The sequence below is a fragment of the Homo sapiens genome, chromosome 9, assembly GCF_000001405.40.
Source record: "Homo sapiens chromosome 9, GRCh38.p14 Primary Assembly".
Lineage (NCBI taxonomy): Eukaryota > Metazoa > Chordata > Mammalia > Primates > Hominidae > Homo > Homo sapiens.
The window spans coordinates 109,734,131-109,754,421 of record NC_000009.12 but is presented as its reverse complement, the minus strand read 5'-3'; the positions used below and the strand labels follow the sequence as shown (position 1 = coordinate 109,754,421).

General features: G+C 40.2%; 1 protein-coding gene across 1 annotated transcript in view, besides 1 other annotated feature; it reads right to left on the bottom strand.

Annotated features, from left to right (window-relative positions):
- The window catches only part of PALM2AKAP2 (PALM2 and AKAP2 fusion), a 531,726-nt gene that overhangs the window by 418,091 nt on the left and 93,344 nt on the right, over positions 1-20,291 (bottom strand). The gene's annotated exons all lie outside the window — the stretch shown is intronic.
- Positions 3,349-3,518: an enhancer, noted in NCBI's record as "experimental_104485 CRE fragment used in MPRA reporter constructs". NCBI's record gives its function as "activates a minimal promoter by MPRAs in K562 erythroleukemia cells, with activity observed for the non-introgressed 9:112513269 variant allele {active_cell/tissue: K562}" and the evidence as "EXISTENCE:reporter gene assay evidence [ECO:0000049][PMID:34662402]".

Below are 20,291 nucleotides of genomic sequence, written 5' to 3'. Positions count from 1 at the left end.
CATTAAGTGTTCTTACCATAACAAGACAAAAAAGAGAGAATGAAGAAGTTGAATTTGATAATTTCTAAAATTACTTCTAGTTCTCAGCTTTTGGATTCTGTTATAGGATTCACAGTAACCAAAACAATGGACTTAATATAAGTTCTACTTTGTAGTCCTGCTCATTTCCTAACTAATGTGATCTTAGAGAAGTAGCTTAACTGGTCTTGATTTTACAAATAAGAGTCCAAGCTACCTTGGATACCTTAGAGGGTACTTTTTCTGTTTTATCTTTCATGCCACATGTTTTGTATTTGGCACTCCAATAAAATCTAATAAAGGAAAAATCAAGGGAAAACTTTTAATGTACAGTAAGCGAGGAAGCAATGTGCAGAGTACAGTAACAATCACTGAAAAGTTGTGTATATGCAGATTTATTTAAAAGATGGAAAGGTCATATGCCAAGGTGTTGACAGTAGTTATACCGGGGCAGTGAAATTATAATTACTCTTTTCTCTTCTTTAGTCTTTTCTGTATTTTTTTCAAACTTTCTACAATAAACTTGTATCATTTTTGAAATCCGAAAAATGTAGTATCCTTGATTTTTAAAAAGTTAAGAGCTGAATTCAATTACTTTAAAGAAGTGAAGAACTCCAATGCTTGGATGGCTTTTAGTCTTAGTTAATCCTTTTTATAATTTAGTAAACGATAGGCACAATCTCTAACTGCCTCGATGAGTTAACTTTAAGTGACTCTGAGATATATAGATCAAATTCCCCATGATATATGGAAAAGCATCCAAAATGAATCTGAACAGTTCTTCCACACACACTTGCAAAGGTGCTGGAAACAGGTCAGAAACTGTCAACGTGGCTTGCTTGCATGCAGATCATCAACTGCAAACATCTTGAGAAAGTCACAGAAAGCCCAAGGGCGCAGAAAAGCCTGTTTTGTCACAAACTGTCTTTCAGTACTAGGGAACAGCTTGACAGGTTTCCAATGGCTTTCCTCGAGTATGCTTTTGGAAGCTGGAAAAAGAAGATGGCAAACTGAGGAAGGAGGCACCCTCTTTTTCCCCGTCCCCCATTATTAGAGCAGAACTGGAACGGTTTTGGAAACAACCACTAAGTACCCCAGCCACTCTGATTCCCTAAAGCCTTGATCCCTCCCCTGTGCTTCAGCGCTCAGTAGTAAAATCTCTAAGACTCAACTTGGGTGGGAACTTCCGAATTTCTCCTCTCTGGCTTTAAGAAAGCCACTGAGAAGCAATGGAGTATGGTAAAATGAACATGGGCTTTGAATCAAGAAGTCATGGGTACAAATCCTGGCTCTGGTATTTTCTCTTGGAAACTCCAAGTGGCATCTTGGTTCACCAATCATTATCTTGAGGAAGCGGGACACTATGACCAGGATTGAAATGGAGTGAACTTCATCTAAAGCCAGAAAACAGGCAGTTCTTGAACTTGCCTCTCCTCTTCTTGACCAGCTAGTACTCCTCATCATTTAACCTCTGTAATATTCCAAAGCCAGTTGCTTTTTCTCTCTACTCACTGCTACTCTTTATGTTCAGGACCTCATCTTTTCTCAACTGGATGAACAAGATTGCCCGGCTACTGGTCTCTTGCCTCTAGGTGGCATTTTCCCCAGTCCATCTGTTGCATCGCAATCAGAGTAATCCTTTCAAAATGAAGTGGTTCTTATCATTCCTTTATATAAAACTCTTCAGTGTTTTCCTCTTGTTCTTAGGAAATAGCCCCAAATCCTTAGCACCACCTTCAAGGTCCTTCATAATATGATGGCTGCTTCCAGATTCAAGGTCATCATTCCCCCTCATCCCCTTGGGCTTCTCCCATTCTGAGTTATTTGCAACTTACCAAACATTCCACATGCTCCTACACCTCTAGGCTTTTTGACACACCATTCCCTCTACCTGAAATGTTTTCTTCAATCCCTCTTTCTCTTTTCCCATGTCAAGTCATCATTTATCTCCTTCCTACCCAAAGTAGCATTGGCCTCACATGGGAGCTCCTTAGAAATGCAGACTCTCAGGACCCATCCCAGACCTGAGTCAAAATCACCAGTATAGCAAGATTCCCAGGAGATTCCTGTGCATGTGAAAGTTTGAAAAGCTGTGGCTTGCTAATTCCTACTCATGGTCACTTCAGGCTCCACGTCCTCCCAGAAGTCTTCTTGCATTCTACCTTCACTCTAACTGGTCTTCATTGAATGCCTTTCTCCAGTGTCCCATTATCCTATGTGTTTCTCGCCATATAAGTTACCGCACTAAAATTTTCTGGACTCTTCTGCCACCTCCACCAAGAGATATGCACTACAGCACCTAGCACAGACCTAGCAATACATAGTAGGTGCTCAATAAATGTTTTTTGAATAAACAAATGAATACATGAAAGGACCAATCAGGCCAAATAGAGTGTGAGTAGAAAAGCTTTGCTTAGTTATCTTTATGACTTTTACTTTTTCTTAGACTTAGATAGCTCACCTTTCTGGTTCTTGCTACACTTTGAATGGCCAACCACTAAGAAAGAAAAAGGGTATCCTTGGGAATAGCTATTCTCCCCATATTCCCTCAGGCCAATACCTGCAGGCATTTGAACAAATGAGTTCTCCCTCCTGCTCTTTACTCGGTGATGGATTCAGCTCAGCTTAGAAATAAAAGCTTTGGGTTCAGATGACATTTTTGAACGGCCAGAAATTCCCTAGAAATCCTAGCTTCATCTTGCTCTATGAGATGGGTATCATGAACTGACTCAACTTCTTTAATTGAGAGCATGATTGAACTGTTACTCAAACTGCTGCAAAACTCCAACCACATGGAAGAAGAACGAGCTAGGAAAAGCCCAAGCGCATGAGGTCTCAGAAACGATTTACTATTATGTGTACATATGACTTTTAGGAGTGAAATGAAGGGGATGCTAGCCAAATCACAGCATGGCTGGAGTTCCCTCTAGAGTCTGGTCAGCGCGGATGGCAAAGAAAAGCAAACAAAAGAAACATTCTTTTTACTAGTGAGTAAAACAAAGACCCTACTGAGAAAACTGAAGTGAGCAGGAGAGCTGTAAAATCAACAGAAACGGGGGCTGTCTGTGGAGCAGGCATCTGGTTTCAATGTAAACATCCTTAAAATGTTTCAAGAACGAATGCACATTTGAATAATTTATTATTAAAGTGGGGTTTTTTCCCTTATGGATATTTAGGGAAGATTCAAACTGAGGATATCCTTGTATATGCCCAACTCAACCGCAGTTCCCCACTCAGTTTAGACATTTTCTGAGTGGAATACTGAATGAAAATCATTTGAAAGCAAACAAAACAGAACTGAAAATCTAGGGTTGCCTGGCTGGATTCAGGTATATTTTGAAAGACTCACATGGACATCGCACTTAAGTAGATTGTACAGTTTGCTTAGGAAGCCAGAAGCAGGGGTGAGGGTGGAATGCAAGGGTCTCTGCCTGTATTGGGTCCTATCTTGTATTTCTTCATTGGGAAAGAAACCTGTCTTGAATTGCACTTTTTGCCTCAGATCATTAATGTAACCATAAAGATCTGGAAGATGCTGTAGAACAGAAATTGCAAATTAGTGACCAAGGCATGGTTTTGTTTGGACCATACTATATCTTACAAAAGAATGTCTTAAGTTGATTGCCAACATTTTAAAAATTTCTTCATGGTAACAATTGGCTAGATCCAAGTAGCTATCATGACCTTTAGAAAAAAACAAATTATTTTCCAGAACTTGCCTCAATCCCAACCCCTCTCTTTCATCTAGCCCAGAAATTTCATACAGGCTAACATCCTGGTATACACACAGACACACACACATACACACACACACACACACACACACACACACGTCCTAGGGCAGAGCTCTGAGGATGAGAAGGAAATGAGTTTTGTCTCCACTGGTTGGCCACCCTTGACCATTCTAATTCAGGTATCATACTTAGCATTGCATGATTTTTTTAACATGGTAGCAGAACTTTTTTTCCTCTTTTTCCTTTACATTATATTACTTTTGCAGAATTATATGAATTTTGCAATTGTATATATTTTATCTGTTTTCAATAAGGAATCAAACATGCCAGTATGCAACAGGGCATCTCCAGGCTATTCCAACAGGCTATTGAAATTGGCCATGTGCCCCCACCATATTGGAACTAATTTCCTGTGCTTGAGCAAGTCCCTATTGCTAGAAAATAATCACTGGACTAAGAATCAAGAGATTCTAGTCAACAGCCTTTGTCTCAAGTCAGGGAAGCTATAGGCTTTTCTTGGCATTTCCTGTTTCACGGAGTTTCTTTCACTCCTTGTCTTTCTGTCCTTAACTATAACCATCCAGGGGTTTACCTACAATTTCAATTTCTGTATTTTTCAATATTGGTGACACTGAAATCACTACTTTTGATCTCATGCAGATGTTCACTCATGGGAACAATAAAGTCATGTCAGTGATGTCTACCAGCCCAGAGCTGTTTAGGTTCTAAATGCCAAAAGACAGCCAGAAATTGAAGCCCATGGTCTCCAACATAGATACCTTTGATATTATCCAAGGCTTCTAAACATCCAGTGATGAAAACAGGTTGACAACGAACTCCTTGGGAGCAGGGGACTAGAACTTATTAGCCTCTGAATTCCCACATCCTTCTCACAGTGCTCAGCACTCTGCCTGGTGTGGAAGTGACTTGTGGCAAATGTCTGTCAAATTAAGAAGATGGAGATCACACATCTGATTTTAGACAACAGCAAAATGGTCCTGAATTTTTCTATAGGATTGCATAACATTTTAACTTTTATAATAAAGTATATTCTAGAATTGTAGGTGCTTACAACTCTCAATTCCCAGAAAATACTTTTTGGGCTTTTTTTTTTTTTCTAACCTATGAAAACACATTTGCACTTACTAGGGCAATTCACATATAGCCAACCTCAGAAATCATAAAGCTCAACATTTCTTAGGTAAGAAAATCAGCCCCAGATGAGAAAAAGACTTGCCCAAGAGCAAGCCAGCAGCAATCTAGACAAGAACGAGATCTCTTGATCACTAGTCCAGTGATTATTCCCCAGCACTAGGGACTTGCCTAGGCCCAGGAAAGTGGTTCTAATATGGTGGGGCGCGTGACTAATTTCAATAGTCTGTTGGAGTAGCCTGGGGAGGCCCTGCTAGATACTGTGAGAGACCTGGGTACTTCTGAAGGGCATCATGATCTGTCAAGTGGACTCCTTCTAGAAGGACTAACGGGCAGACCAAGGGACTAAAGACAGAAATACAAGAGCCGCTTCTATCGCCTCATGTTTAAGGCTGATGCCCCAGTTGTCTTAGAACCCCCTAAGGGAGAGCACATCTGATATGGGCTGAATTGTGTCCTCCCAAAATTCATCTGTTGATGTCCTTATCCCCAGTATCTCAGAATGTGACTGTATTTGGAGATAAGGTCTTTAAAGAGGCAATTAAGTCACAATGAGATCATCAGAGTGGGCCTTAATCCAATATGGCTGGAGTCTTTATAAGAATAGGAAATTAAGACATAACCTTGCACAGAGGGAGGACCAGGTGAAGACACAGGGAGAAGATGGCCATCCATAAGCCAAAGAGAGAGGCCTCAGAAGAAACTAATCCTGCCAACACTTTGATTTTGGCCTTCCAGACTCCAGAATTGTGAGCAAAAAAGTTTCTGTTGTTTAAGCCACCCAGTCTCTGGTACTTTGTTATGGCAGCCTAGCAAGCCAATATAACACCCTCTACCCCAAAATCAAAGTGTAATTCCCAGTTTCCAGAGCAAAATTGTGTAACTGTCAGCATCATGACAGATAGGACACATGACAGTACATGCAATCTGCCATTTAACTTAGGAAGCATCATGATTCTATTTCCAATACAATGATGTTAGCATCACACATTATTTGATCAAAGTAGAATAAAAGCAAAGGTAAACTGGGATCGCCATCTTTTAGACTCCTGACCCATGTTATCTCACTCCTCTTCTGTACAAGAGCTGCTCCTATCGCCTCATGTTTAAGGCCGATGCCCCAGCTGTCTTGGGAACCCCTGTAGTGCGTCATTCCCTGCAAACCCTAGTGTCCTTTTGGGAATGAGAAACTGGGCTGTTCATGTACCCTCAACTGCAGAAGGGCAGCCCAATTCACCAAGTCCAGATGGAAAGAGTATAGGGGGTATTTGCATTTGCCATGGATCATATTCTCTCTCCCTCCTTTGCATGCTTGGTCACTCTGCTACAGTTAAAAAAAGAAAAAAAAGAAAACACAACTCTACTTCATTCCAAGTGGTTAATCAACTAAGTATCCTAGAATAAACCAAACATACATATAAGAAGGTGGCCACCAGCTTCCAAGAGCATAAAAATCAGTTTCAACTGGTAAATATTGTGTTGAAACTGTCAACAGAATAACTTTTGATAGAGTCATTTGTAATCTTTAAAATTATGGACATATAGCCAGCTGGGCTCAGTGGCTCATGCCTGTAATCCCAGCACTTTGGGAGGCTGAGGCAGGCAGATCGCTTCAGCTCAGGAGTTCAAGACCAGCCTGGGCAACATGCCAAAACCCTGTCTCTACCAAAAATACAAAAAATTAGCCAGGCCTGGTGGTGAGCACCTGTATTCCCAGCTACTTGGGAGGCTGAGGTGGGAGAATCCATTGAGTCTGGGATGTGGAGGTTGCAGTGAGCCGAGATCATGCCACTGTACTCCAACCTGGGTGACAGAGTGAGACTCTGTCTCAAAAAAAAAAGAAAAAAATTATGGAGTTACAGTATTTTAGAAATGAGAAGAACTTTACTTCATGATTCAATATTTCTTGGCCTCTAACTCATATATGCATCAGTTCATGAAATCATATTTGATTATGCCTTCTACTCAGAAATGCTGTTTTGTAATCTCCAAGTGACTGGCAAGAAGAACTATTTGGTTCTTTGGTTCTTCTTATGAGTATATATAATTTTATATCAAATTCTGCATGAATGCCAAGACAGGAACCCCAAGAACGTCAAGGCAAATTTGCTAACCATTACTAGAAATTGAATAGAATATATTTTAACAAACATTTCTAGAGTAAAACATCTGTTTAAGAAGGCATTTATAATTTTAAAAAACCTCAATACCAGTGACTTTTTAACTGAAAATCAGCGTGGTGGCCTGGGGGCTAGCCTGACATAAACCACTTGAAAGACAAGGGCAAAGAGAAATGAGCCTAGTGAATCCATCTGCTGGTGGCCTTTTTGGGCACCTGTAAAAACAAAGCTAGGCTATTACAGATATTATACACAATATAAAACCATAGAAATATTGGCTTTTATTATTAGCAATATTTATTACAGTATATTCACATCAGCATTCATGGCCCTCCACAATATGGCAGTAGCTTGTGTTTATGGTGTAATTTTCCTCCAACCCTCTTACCCATACTCCAATCCAACTGGACATGTCCCTGTTCTCTACTCCATGCCTTTCTCATGTTCTTGCTGACATCTCTGCCACACGCACTGCCCTCTTCCACCTGTGCCTGTTAAAATCTTCATAGAGCAAGACTGCCTGTATTTGAACTCTAGGCTGCTGCCAACTAGAAGCCACATCTAGCCACACCTAGCTGTGTGACTTTGGGCAAGTTTCTTAGTCTCCCTGTGCCTTAGTTTCCTCATCTGCAAAATGAAGATAAAATAGGACTATCTCATAGGGTTGTGGTGATGATTCACTGAGACAGTAGATCTAAAGCATTTACAGCAGTGCCTGAACCAGATCCACACCAACCTCCCTTCCACCTCCTGGGGATATCATTGGTGTCTCTCTACTGGGCTAGCACACTAGACTCTGAGTGTGAGGACACTTCTTTATGGTTCTAATAATTATTGATCAATAATAATAATAAATATATTTATTTCTGTTAGCTCTGACCCTAAGATTGAATCAAATTAAATAATAAAATATGAATGTGTATGATCAAACACCTACTTTGTAGCTTGCATTTTGCACCATTTCTTCCATTTATTTGGGGACCTATTGTGCCCTGTGCTTGTTAACTAACTTACCAGGATTAATGGGAAAGACATTCCCCCATGCTTTCTAAAATGGAGTTATCTGGCTAGCTTTTCTAAGTGACTCCTATTCCTCCAAACCTGTTGGCATTCCCAAATTCATTATCAGAGAGCAAGCCTAAACAGCAAAAGTTCAAGTCAGATAGGACATCCTGGGACCAAGAGCACAGTGGATTTTTGGCTGTCATCTGTTCCCTGCTGGCTGTCACTCTAAGTGGTTGTCATTCTCTTGTGCAGAAGGAAAAATTCCATATAAGGCAAGGCCCGAGCAAGTCGTTAAGCAGTCTGAAGTGTTCCTCCCGGGCTGTGAACCCTCCTGGGAGAGAGCAGCACACCCCTGGCAAAGATTACAGCACACTTCACGGCAAACCTGCAGAGTAACAAAGCACATATTGTTACCTCTGAATGCCAAGCTCTGCAGGCTAGTAAAAATACATATTATACCTTTTTAATGGGATGAAGGGAGTTGGCTTCTTTGCAACGTTTTGGATGGAGTCATAACATAAATAAACTGTATTCTGGGGTCTGAATTTATGAAGCCCAGAGCCAAGCTGCATGGTTACAACTAGGGCAACCCAGACCATTGCGTAAATCAAGTACAGAAGCCAGGGAGTTCTGGCAGCCACACCACTGCGTGCTCATGTGAGGAAAGACTCCACTGAAACACTTCCCAGACGTCGTTATTGTCTGCCACCTTTTTCTAAATGTGTTTACTATTCATAGTGTTGATGACTTCTGCCTATTTTTATTATTGCTGTAAATGTGGCCACTGAATAACATTTTGAATAACCTAAAACAGGACACGACAAGACAGGAAAGGGTGTGTGTGTATATTCTGGCTGGTAAATTCATGCCTATTCCTACACACACACACACACACACACACACACTGACAGCCACTAGAGTCGACTTAAGAGATCAGAGAAGAAAAGAAGTGAGGCAGCATTCACTCCAACCTAGAAGCCAAGCCTCAGAAGAAATGAGAGCCTGGAACTATGAGCCTTATTTTTATTTTTTTTTATTTTTGAGACAGAGTCTCACTTTGATGCCCAGGCTGGAGTGCAGTGGCACGACCTCAGCTGACTACAACCTCTGCCTCCTAGGTTCAAGCAATTCTCCTGCCTCAGCCTCCTGAGTAGCTAGGATGACAGACTTGTGCCACCATGCCCGGCTACGAGCCTTATTTTTAAGTGGAGTCCATACCTATCGCTGGTCATGGCAGTGGTCTAAATGATCTGGACCTGATGCCCTGCCATTCTATGAAATCGCTGGGCTCTGAAAATGAGCAAAAAGGAAGGCTGTGTTCACTGTTGAGGTTGATTTAAATGCTGAATAAATGCTGAAAAGTTGCTTGGTGCCTGGGCTGAGAAGAAGGAGCTCTGGAAGCCAAAAATTATTGGGACTGAGGGCATGCATGGACTTAGAGGGAGCTCATGGAGAAGATGCCTTAGTCCTAGAGTCTTCCGGAAGAGAGGAGAGAGCAAGAAGTGTGCCAAAATCTGCTGGGAGGTTGGAGGGTCCTAGTGTTCAAAATCTTAATGCTGGATTTGACAGACATCATTGTGATCAGGAGGTTTCTGCTCCACATGAAGTCAAAAACAGGTAGTGTTGCCAGAGGCTGTGAGGTCCTGATGTTACTATGAGAACATCTGGGGTGCTTAGAACATTCCTGGAATCCCAGTTAATGCACTGGAGCAAATTATATTAAGGGGCAATAAAGCCTTGTTTGGGAGGACTTGCAATTGTTCTTTGCTTGTTCTATCTCAAATGAGATGTTAAAATAGTCAATTGCTGTCTTAGACCCTCTAGTCCTCCAAACATTTATGAAATCATAAAATAGTCACGTCTAGCAGGGATCTAGTGACTCTCTGGAAACTTTCCCATTTAAAGATGAAGAAAATTAGGCTCCGAAAATTGCCCACGCCATGCAGCTAGATGATATCAGCTGAGATCTGCAAGATATTTTTCTTTCTCTTTGTCATAAAAAAATTGTTATTCATTTTGCCTGGAGTATGACAACCATATTCTTTGTTTTAGTACAGAAAATTGTTTCTTCAAAGTCTTTATAATTATTTCTGTTTCAGTTATTCTTACTAACTCAAAATACCTATAATTTTGAGGTTGGAACTCCATTCTCTGCCCTCCACATCTAACAATATCTCTCCTATCACATGGATAGCTTTTTCCCTTTTCTCTGCATTCTGAGAGAGATTTCCAGTTTATCCTCTCCAATCATTATTCAGTTCTTCTCTGGTTTAGTTCAGTTATTTGTTGACTCTAATACGAATTTTAATTCTGCTCTTGAGTTGTTAACTTTCAGTCAGATTTTATCCATTTCACATTTTCATTTTCACCTCACTCCCACTCCCATGCCTATGACCTTGTGGTTTTCCATTTCTGTTTTCTTAAAGGCCAAATAGAACATAGATAAATGAGAACATCCACATACTCAATAAGAAAAAAAGAGCAAATTTTGTCATTTGCTGGAATTCATTCTTTATTCATTCACTGAGTTCCTATGACATTCCAAGCAGTGTGCTGGGCTCTGATGTTAGGAATGTAAATAAAAGAAAGACATGTCTCCTGTTATCAAAGTGTGCAGGCAGATGTATGTATATGCCTATGTGTATTAAGACGTTGCACACAAACAACCATAATGCAAGGTAGAAAGTGTTGCCTGCCTAAGGAAGGCTTACATTTCAAAAGATATTTTGAAAATTTTTGAAACTTTCTCCTGGTTCCTGAAATAGACATCCTGGGGTCTTCAACAATTTTTTCACTGATTCCAAGTAGTCTTTCCTATAACTTACTTCTTCAATATAAATATTTAAATAAGGTGAGCTTTCTTGAGACTTTGAGGCAGCAGTCATACATGGTATGGGGTTGGCTTCATCAATGCCGGCCCTCCATTTGTATGATGATCTCACACCTGCAGCTGCAGAACAGGTGTTTGCGCAGCTTCTAACCTAACTCTAAATTCTAATGCAGCTCTGCACGGGTGGGGTATTGCTCCTAACCGTCATTGTCTGATTCTTTGAGACGCTGACTCAACACCCTGTGCATGAAAAGCTACAATCCCAGCATGTAGAATACTTCTGCCATAAATCTTACTTCTTGGATCCACCTAAGTGCTGGAACTACACTTCCCAGGATGCAGTTAAGCTTTACACATGCTTCAAGGGAGGGAAAAAGATCCCTCCCTTTTTTTATCCTACTGGATTTGGGGAGTTGTGGAGGTTGGGTGAATAGAGAAAGAAGGAAGGGTGAATGGGAAGCAGCTTTTTGCCTGCCTTAAAAGGAATCAGCTCCTTGAAAAATGGGAGGGGGACTCAGCTTTCTGGCTGGAATAGACCAAGGGGCTCTGTAAATGGAAAACTCCAGGGGAGGCATAAAAGCCTTTCTCCACTCCTTCTATCTCTGCTTCCCTCAGGGAGGTGGCTCCTGGGTCTTGGCAACAGGCTGTCTGACAAGCATGCTTTTTGTGGCTGTGGTGAGATTTTTTTCTTGTTTCTGAGCCTTTCTGGAAATTTTCAAGGGAAGTTGAGAGTGCTGCAACACGGCTGCTTTCCAGATGCCATTTCTGTGTTGTCCACATATGCTTTTTAATCTTCTCTACCCCAAATATGGCATGTAGAAGTGAAAACAAAAATAGCAGCTAAGTTAACCATGTAAGGGGCCAGCATAGGTTTATGTGGTATATATAAGAAATATATAATCCTGCATGTACATTATCAATGACCCATAAATCTGAGACTAACAACCTCAAGTGGAAATGGTCATAGTATGTGTGGGAGCCATATAGAACACAGACAAATGAGTACATTTGACAAAGAGAACATCACATGTACTCATTATTTGATCAAAGTAGGATAAAAGCAAAGGTAAACTGGGATTGCCATCTTTTAGACTCCTGACCCATTTTATCTCACTTCTCTTTTGTACAAGAGCTGCTCATACATAAGGCTCATAGTTCCAGGCTCTCACTTCTTCTGAGGCTTGGCTTTTAGGTTGTAGTAAATGCTGCCTCACTTCTTTTCTTCTCTGATCTCTTCAGTCGACTCAAGTGGCTGTGAGAGTGTGTGTGTGTGTGTGTGTGTGTGTGTGTGTGTGTGTGTGTGTGTGTGTGAATACATCACATGTACTCATTTGTACATGTGAGTACATACATGTGAGTACATCACAGACAAATGAGTACATCCACAGGCTACACAGGAAAATAAAAAGTTATGTCATTTGCTGGAATTCATTCATTCATTCTTTCATTGATTATGGTTTGCCAAGCACTGCTCTAGGTACTGAAGTTGAGGATAAAAATAAAAGCAAGATGTAGTTCCTGTTCTCAAAGTGTGTGCAATGTGCATGCACATGTGTATTAAAAGTGCAATAAACATCTAATATGCAAAGTAGACCACTATTATGCAAGACAACTATTATTGCCTTGAGGAAAATTTAAGACACCCCAGCAACTTTCTTCTCACTTGGAATAAAAGCAAACTCCTTCTGCTGAGACAATTCAATGGGAAAATACAGTGTTTTTCACAAATAATGTGGAATTGGATATCTGCTTCTTTCCTCCACCTTACAGCATTCACAAAAATTAATTTAAGATGGATCTTAGAGCTAAAACCTAAATGCTAAGACCTATAATGTTTCTACGAGAAAATCCTTTCACGATCTTGGAGTAGACAGATATTTCTTACACAGAACACTGTCCAGAATGATTAGAACAAAAACAAACAAACCCACCAGACATAACCAAATGTCAGTGAACATGTGGAACAATGGAAGCTCTTACACTTTGCTGGTGGGAGCATAAAATTGTTCCATCGCTTGGGAAAACTGTTCAGCAGTTTCATATAAAGTTAAAACATCTGTCGCCCTATGACCCAGCAGTTTCAATCCTAGGTATGTACCCAAGAGAAATGCAAACGTATATGCACAATAAGACCTGTTCAAGAATATTCACGGCAGCTTTATTGAAAATAGCCAAAACCAAGAAACAATCTAATTACCCATCAACAGGAAAATGAATAAACTTGTGGTGATATAATTACACAATGGAGTACTACCCAGCAATGAACGATGGATATTTGCAACAACACAGGTGAATCTCTAAAACATTCCATTGAGTGAAAGAAACCCAGACTCAAAAGCATGCATAATTTCATTTTTACAAAGTTCCAGAATAGTGATAGAAATCAGAACACTGGTTACCTCTGGGCTGGGAGCAGGTGGAGAATTGACTAGAAAGCATCACAAATAAACTTTCTGAGGTGATGAAAATCCTCTATGTCTAGGTTTGCATGATAGTTGCAGAGTATAAAATTGCCAGATACCTTCAAAACAAATTTGAGATCTGTGCATTTCCTTGGATGTAAATCATACCTCAATTTAAAAAATCTAGTTTTTTAAAAAAGCAAAAGTCTGACCGGGTGCAGTGGCTCACACCTGTAATCCCAGCGCTTTGGGAGGCCGAGGTGGGCAGATCACGAGGTCAAGAGATTGAGACCATCCTGGCCAACACAGTGAAACCCCGTCTCTACCAAAAATACCAAAATTAGCTGGGTGTGGTGGCACACGCCTGTAGTCCCAGCTACTCAGGAGGCTGAGGCAGGAGAATCGCTTGAACCCGGCAGGCGGAGGTTGCAGTGAGCCAAGATCGCACCACTGCACTCCAGCCTGACAACACAGTGAGACTCCGTCTAAAAAGAAAAGGCAAAAGTCCTTATATTATTCTATAAAGCCCTATAAAACCTGGTCCCTGCAACCTCCCCAGACCTCGTCTTCTACCATTCCAGACCTCACTCACTCCACTTGGTATTTTTTAGCTGTTTCTTGGACATACCGAGCAGTCTCCTAGCCTCAGGAGCCAGTCCTTGTTGTTGCCTCTGTCTGGAAATTGTTACCCCAAATGGCTACATGGCTTGTTTCTTCCCTTCCATCAGGTCTCTACACAAAATGTCACCTTAGCAAAGAAGCCTTTTTAACCATCCCAATCAGCACCATCCACACCACACTCCCTATCCTCACTCACCCTACTTATTTGCTATAGTACTCATCAACATCTGACACATAAAAAATTTATACCTTTGTTTATTATCTGTCCCTTTTCCCTGGAATGAAACCTTCCTGACCTTGCTTTGCTCACTGCTGTTTCCCAAGCAGCTAGAACAGTACCTGGCATGTAGTAAATACCCATTAGGTAGTTGCTGAATGAATGAGTGAACAAATGAATAGAAAGTGATGATAGATTAGATGAAAGCTGTCAAATTGGACTGGTATACTGATTTTCTATTGGACTTCTCCCTCAAATTGCTGGCCAAAACACTTACATTTTAAAATGCAAATAAGATGAATCACAGATGTGTTTCAAGAAAAGTAAACAACCTACTTCAAAGAACTCTATGATATTTTCAAAGGCCTACGTGGCCAGCTTTGACAAGACCTTAAGATGAGAAGTCACAAAGCAAGATGACACATGACAGTGTATTTTGTGTTCCGGGTGGGAAGCTCCAGGGCCTCAAAAGCCCTGGGAGTTGCCCACGTTCTGCAGCCCTTCCCTTGGGTGTCTAGAGAGGGCCAGGCATGGAGTTTCTGAGCTAGCATCACTTGCATTACAAAATCATGGCCACTCAGAACTAGAGACCTCAAAGTTATTATTGAAAGTGTCTCATAGAAATTAAAAAGAGGAGGAAGAAATTCCTGAGCTTGGGGTGTATCATAGAACTGGCCTGGAGTCTGGCTCTAATTGGATTCCAAGACCAATTCTGCCACTAATTAGTGGTGTGACCAGAAATAATCATTGAAAATCCTGGAGCTTCTGTTCCCTCAACTAGGAAAGAGCAGGTTCAACTAGGAGACCTCTAAGATCCCTTTCTAACTCTTGAATGTTTTGAATCAGTGATCTATACACCTATATACCAAGGAATAGTTCAGCTTTGGATGAGTAAAGCCTTCAGTCATGACATCTATTTTTTTTAAATAGGCATATTAAAAATGAGTTTCCTATTTCTTTTTACAATTGATGGCATTCTCTAAAACATGAGGCCACACTTCCGTTTCCCCATCTTCCTTAGAGTACTGGTTTAAGTAAATGAATATAACAACCTGTACTTTCTTAAATAAATTTCAATGCTTAGATGTTGTCTAAGTCAATGAACTACTTGAATTAACAAAACCCTGTCTATGTCAGCAAAGTCTGGTGCTCTTTCTGAGTTGATGTTTTCAAAGTAGATTTTCATCTGGGTCTAGCTATGCATCAGCTATAAAATTGAGATAATTTTAACCATTTCTTATCCACAAGTTATTGTGAGAACCAAATGAGGTAATACATGGGAAAGTTTAATAAACTATATTGTTCAAATATGAGACAGCATTATTATACTATTGGACTTTGAATGCCAACCAAGAGCCAAATGGAAATTCTGAGAGTTCGGAAACAATTTTTGAACCTTTGGGCTCTTGGAATAAAGAGCAGATAAGGTGTTCCACCATTTGCAGTACACAGGGAAACACTTTAATTAATTGCAGGGGCGCTGTGGAAAAAACTAGACATTTTTTTAATCAAAGATGCCAAAATTCAAATCCCAGTTTTTGGGCTTACTAGTTGTGTGGATTTGGGCAAATTATTTAGTATCTCTGGGCATGGTGTAAAGAGTCTGAGGATTCTCAACTCTTTGGAAGTAAAATGTAGACATTTGACTTTCCTAGCAACTCTTCTCTGTTGACTCCCTTTTTCTTCTGGATAGAAGACTACCGTAATGATAAATGATTCAGATCCTAATGCTTTCCAGGAATTCTGTAAGTGAAATGTTTTTAAATGTCATTTTTCAATCATCCATTGCTAGTGTATAGAAATAGACGTTTTTATATTGATCTTTTATCCTGAGACCTTGCTAAATTCACTTATTGGTTCTAGTAACTTTTTGTAGATTTCTTAATTTCCTACCTAAACAATCATTATTCTATGAATAAAGACAGTTTTATTCTCTTTTCCTAACTGTATGACTTTTACTTCTGTTCATTCTTCAAAAAGAGCACACCAATCAGTAAGCCCCTGGTGGCAGCTGTCGTTTCTCCAAATTGTAAGTTCTCAGCGGCAGGCTCTGGGGGCAACTGTGAGAAAGTGGGTTGAAGATCTCACTTGAAACTTTACACCACTGTTTCCTTATCTTTAATAGAGGAATAGTAATTCTACCTCCCAGATATACTGTGAGGGAAACATAAGAGTATATAAAGAAATTCATAGCAAGTGCAATAGATTATATATAGTTGGTGCTCAGTAAATGAGTACCACTTCTTTTTTTTCCAATATTGGTACCAGGAACACTTTCAGTTTAGAGGCCAAATATATAATGATTGTCTGTGCCTCTTGCCATCTGGAAGACTCAATAAAGATTTTCCATGCCAAGGCATCAAAGCCATGCTAGTCAGGTTGGTGTCCATCCACCTAATGTCTTTTGTTTCCAACACCCAAATGTTATGATGGTTTTGAGAAAACACAGTTGGAATAAAACCTTCAAACTGGATGGCAACTGCCCATTTTAAGATTAGTAATAATGTTTGAACAGAGTTCTTTAATTTGGTTCTTTGAAAGCACAAGCCTTGGAACCCTATGAGTGAACTACTTACATATTTGCTAAACAATGTAGGATGAAAAATAACTAATTGACTGTGTGCTAACTAGTTATTGTTCTTGTTGGACTGTCAATTACTGTTACTATGAGGTCAGTAGATGCACCTAGCTAAAATTAGCAAAGCCCTAGTTCCAGCCCTTGTCCTGTTTTCCTTCAACCTTTCTTTCTTGTGTGCCTGGCTTGCTTCTTTTCATCTGTGGCAGGTCTCCTGGCATGCTTCATTTCCATTTACAGTGGCTGCTGCTGTCTCTAACATTTCACTTGCCTCTTCTTCCAAATACACACTCAGCAGAGTGAGTGACACTTTGTACAATCAAGCTGAACCTCACCCTTGGCCACATGGCCATGGAGTCAGTGAGTTTGTTAGTCACCTCCCATGACTGCACAGTCCTAACTGTGCTGTCACAGAACAAATAGATCCATGGGTCATGTCTTTCCCATCGTGATGACCACTCAGGCCACCCAGTTTGCTGGACCTGTAAGTTGGTCATGCTGACCACTGGTGCTCACATTTTTCCTACCACATCTCTGGAAGCCACTGTAATCATAGCGTTTCCAGGATCCCTTTGGTGCCTTATGATCCAGAGCACTCATCCCTAGCTTTCCTCCTGTGCCTCCTAGGATTTAGAATGAGAAAGAACGCTTCCTGGCAAAGACTTTCCTAGATGATGCCTCCCTAGCGATAAAATCATCTTACACTATGCTGTCCTTATAATCAATTTTCAAATGCTTTCTAGTTCCCAATGATGTTAAAGATTAGCATGGCCAAGGCTAATATACAAAAGAGACGGCGACAGTGGTAGTGATTCAGTTCCTTAAGGCTATCTATTTCCTGTCAATTGCTCTTGGGTTGCATATTCACACCACATGTTAGCTGTAATCATGGGAAGAGATGCTTTTCTCCAGGCTTCAGAAAATGGCAGTCAAATACAGACCAGAATAATAAACACTGGAGACTACAAAAGGTGGGATGGCGGGAGAGTGGAAGGTTGGGGTGAGGGTTGACAATCACCTGTTATTAGGTACAGTGTTCACTATTCACGTGATGGGTACACTAAAAGCCCAGATGTCACCACTACGCGATAGATACATTTAAGAAATCTGCACTTGTACCCCCTAAATACATAAAAACTTAAAAATAAATTAAATTTTAAAATATATAAAAATAAAAGTAAAAAAAGAAAATGGCAGTCAAATATTTTCAGTCATGAAGCAAAAATGGCTCTACGTCAAGGCCTTCTACTAAAACTAAAGAAAGAATAACTAATCTTGCTTAGACTATTGTTTGGCCAATAGTGACTGAGTGGTGGTCTGAATTCACTTTCGGTTTGGAAGATTAAGCCCTTTCATAACACCTAGACCATTCTTGGAACATGTCTTCCAATAAATCATCAATTTATTCAATTTAAATGTAAATGATCAATTTCTCTCATGTTCATTGTCGCTACAGAAAACTTTTATAGTGTGTGTTTATACGTACATGCATATATTCACAAATTATATGTATTTATAGTAATTCACTTTTTTGTACAAGACTAGTTCCCCGGGACCTATTTTCCACATATAAATATACAAACGCAAGACAAAAACACAGGGGATTTTAACCGTCGTTGTGCCTGTGAAGAAGTCTGATCCTAGATGCTGGAATGGTTGGTGATTTTCCAGACTTCAAGAATCAGTGTGAATTTGGCCCCAAGCCCATAAGCAGGCAACTTTCTTATGCTGGGACATGACCTCAGCATAGACTAAAGATAACTACCATGGGAGAAACGCCTACTTGGCTTTCTTCTTCTCATTTGGTCCCAGTCCTTAACATCTGAGAACGAGAGAGATGGCCTGTCTTCCCAAGCCTGTTGCACACAAACAGAAGGCAAACCCAAGTTACAGTCTTAAGCAGCAGGGAAAGAAGGATTCTTTTTTGTTTCTCTTCCTCCTATCAGCATGATGAAAAGGTGCATGAAGGCAGACCTACCATTAATGCCTGGGACAAAACTAACAAACATCCCAAGGGAACTCTATTAAGTGAAAATCAGTATCTACACCATCTTCCCTTTTCCTCTGGGCACATAAAGCTCCTTTATAAAGAGCAGTGCAAAATGAAAAGAGGAAACTTCTTAATCATGCAACAGACATTTCAGCCAAAAAATCATTTTTTGATTCCATAATTAACTTGCTGTGTGATTACAGGCATTTCATTTAGTCTTTTTCTACCCAATTCCATAGCATTGAAGATTAAAGTTACTGGACTCAGGGCTCATAGCTCCCTGCAGGACAAGATTTGAGCTGAGAGTTTGTCCCATGAAACTGCCTTTAACCCAGACTCCCCAGATGCAGGAAGCCTTTGAAACATGACCTCCCAGAGCCCCTCAGAGAGCATGTATCCCAAGTGTGCGAATGTGCATATATACACAGTGTGTCCTTCCCTACAGTGCTAGGAGATCATAAAAGATGGTGGGCCAAAAGCTCTACTTGAGTTTGAGTTGCTGGAGAGCAGGCCCAGCTTGAGCTACAAAGGAGCTTCAGGAAAATACCCATGAATCTAGTATGCAAGGCAGTAGCCAGGCCCTGAGGGTCTAGCCAGAGTCAAAGACACAGAGAACTGGAAGAAGACACTCTTTCAACTATGCTTGGATAACAAAGTTAAGGATATCATTTGCCTTGTCTTGCCCAAGGTAATATTTGGAGTTGCTATTATTTCTCAATGCTCCTTGAGAAACAGCTTGGCCCACCAGAGAGTCTCATACTGGAAATTTGTTTTCTTCCCAAGTCAGTTGAGCAATGTAAATATGTTTGACAAGATGGCAGTGGAGAGGCTTGGATCTATTTCTCCAGGGAGGGGAAGAGGTTTCAATCTATTTCTCCAGGGAGGGGAAGGTCCTCGTGATTATTTGGCAGAGGGACCCTCTTTCCGTGTGCTGCAAATGCTTTTGGCCATTTTGCAAAGTAACCTACAATCTGGGCAATACTAACACATTGGAAATTGTGGGAAAGTTATCTTCACTTTTCTTCCTTTGGGATAGCTAATTGGTTCTAACACATGGATCCGTTGCTGAAGAAGTCATGTTTAATGAAATTAAAATGTCATGGAATCTGTTTGATGAGACTCTCCTGCCTCTTTATACACTCTAAAGGACTCTTCTCTTGACTCCAACTATTAAAATTCCTAAATCAGGCTGTCCAATTGAATTGTCTGCAAAGAGGAAAATATTCCATATCTATTACATCAATGTGGTAGACACTAGACACATGTGGCTGTTTTGAGCACCTGAAATGTGACAAATAAAGGACTGAATTTTAATATTATTTAATTGTAATTCATTTAAATTTAAATTGACAAATGTGCCTATTGGCTATCTATCAGCACAGTTCAATGTTAGTTTCAATATTTAATTTGTAATTTACTCTCTTTATACTAGCTGCAAGATGCCAGTTATGATGCATTTCTTGTTCCTAAGTGATAGTCTAGATTGATTCCTCAGGATAGCTTAAAAAAAAAATGACTACAAATTCTTAAAACATTTAAAGCCACTGCAAAGGGAGGAAGAGGATTATTGATCTAAAATGGAGATAATCCAGTAGTGGGAATACTTTAAATGAAATGAAAACAAAAT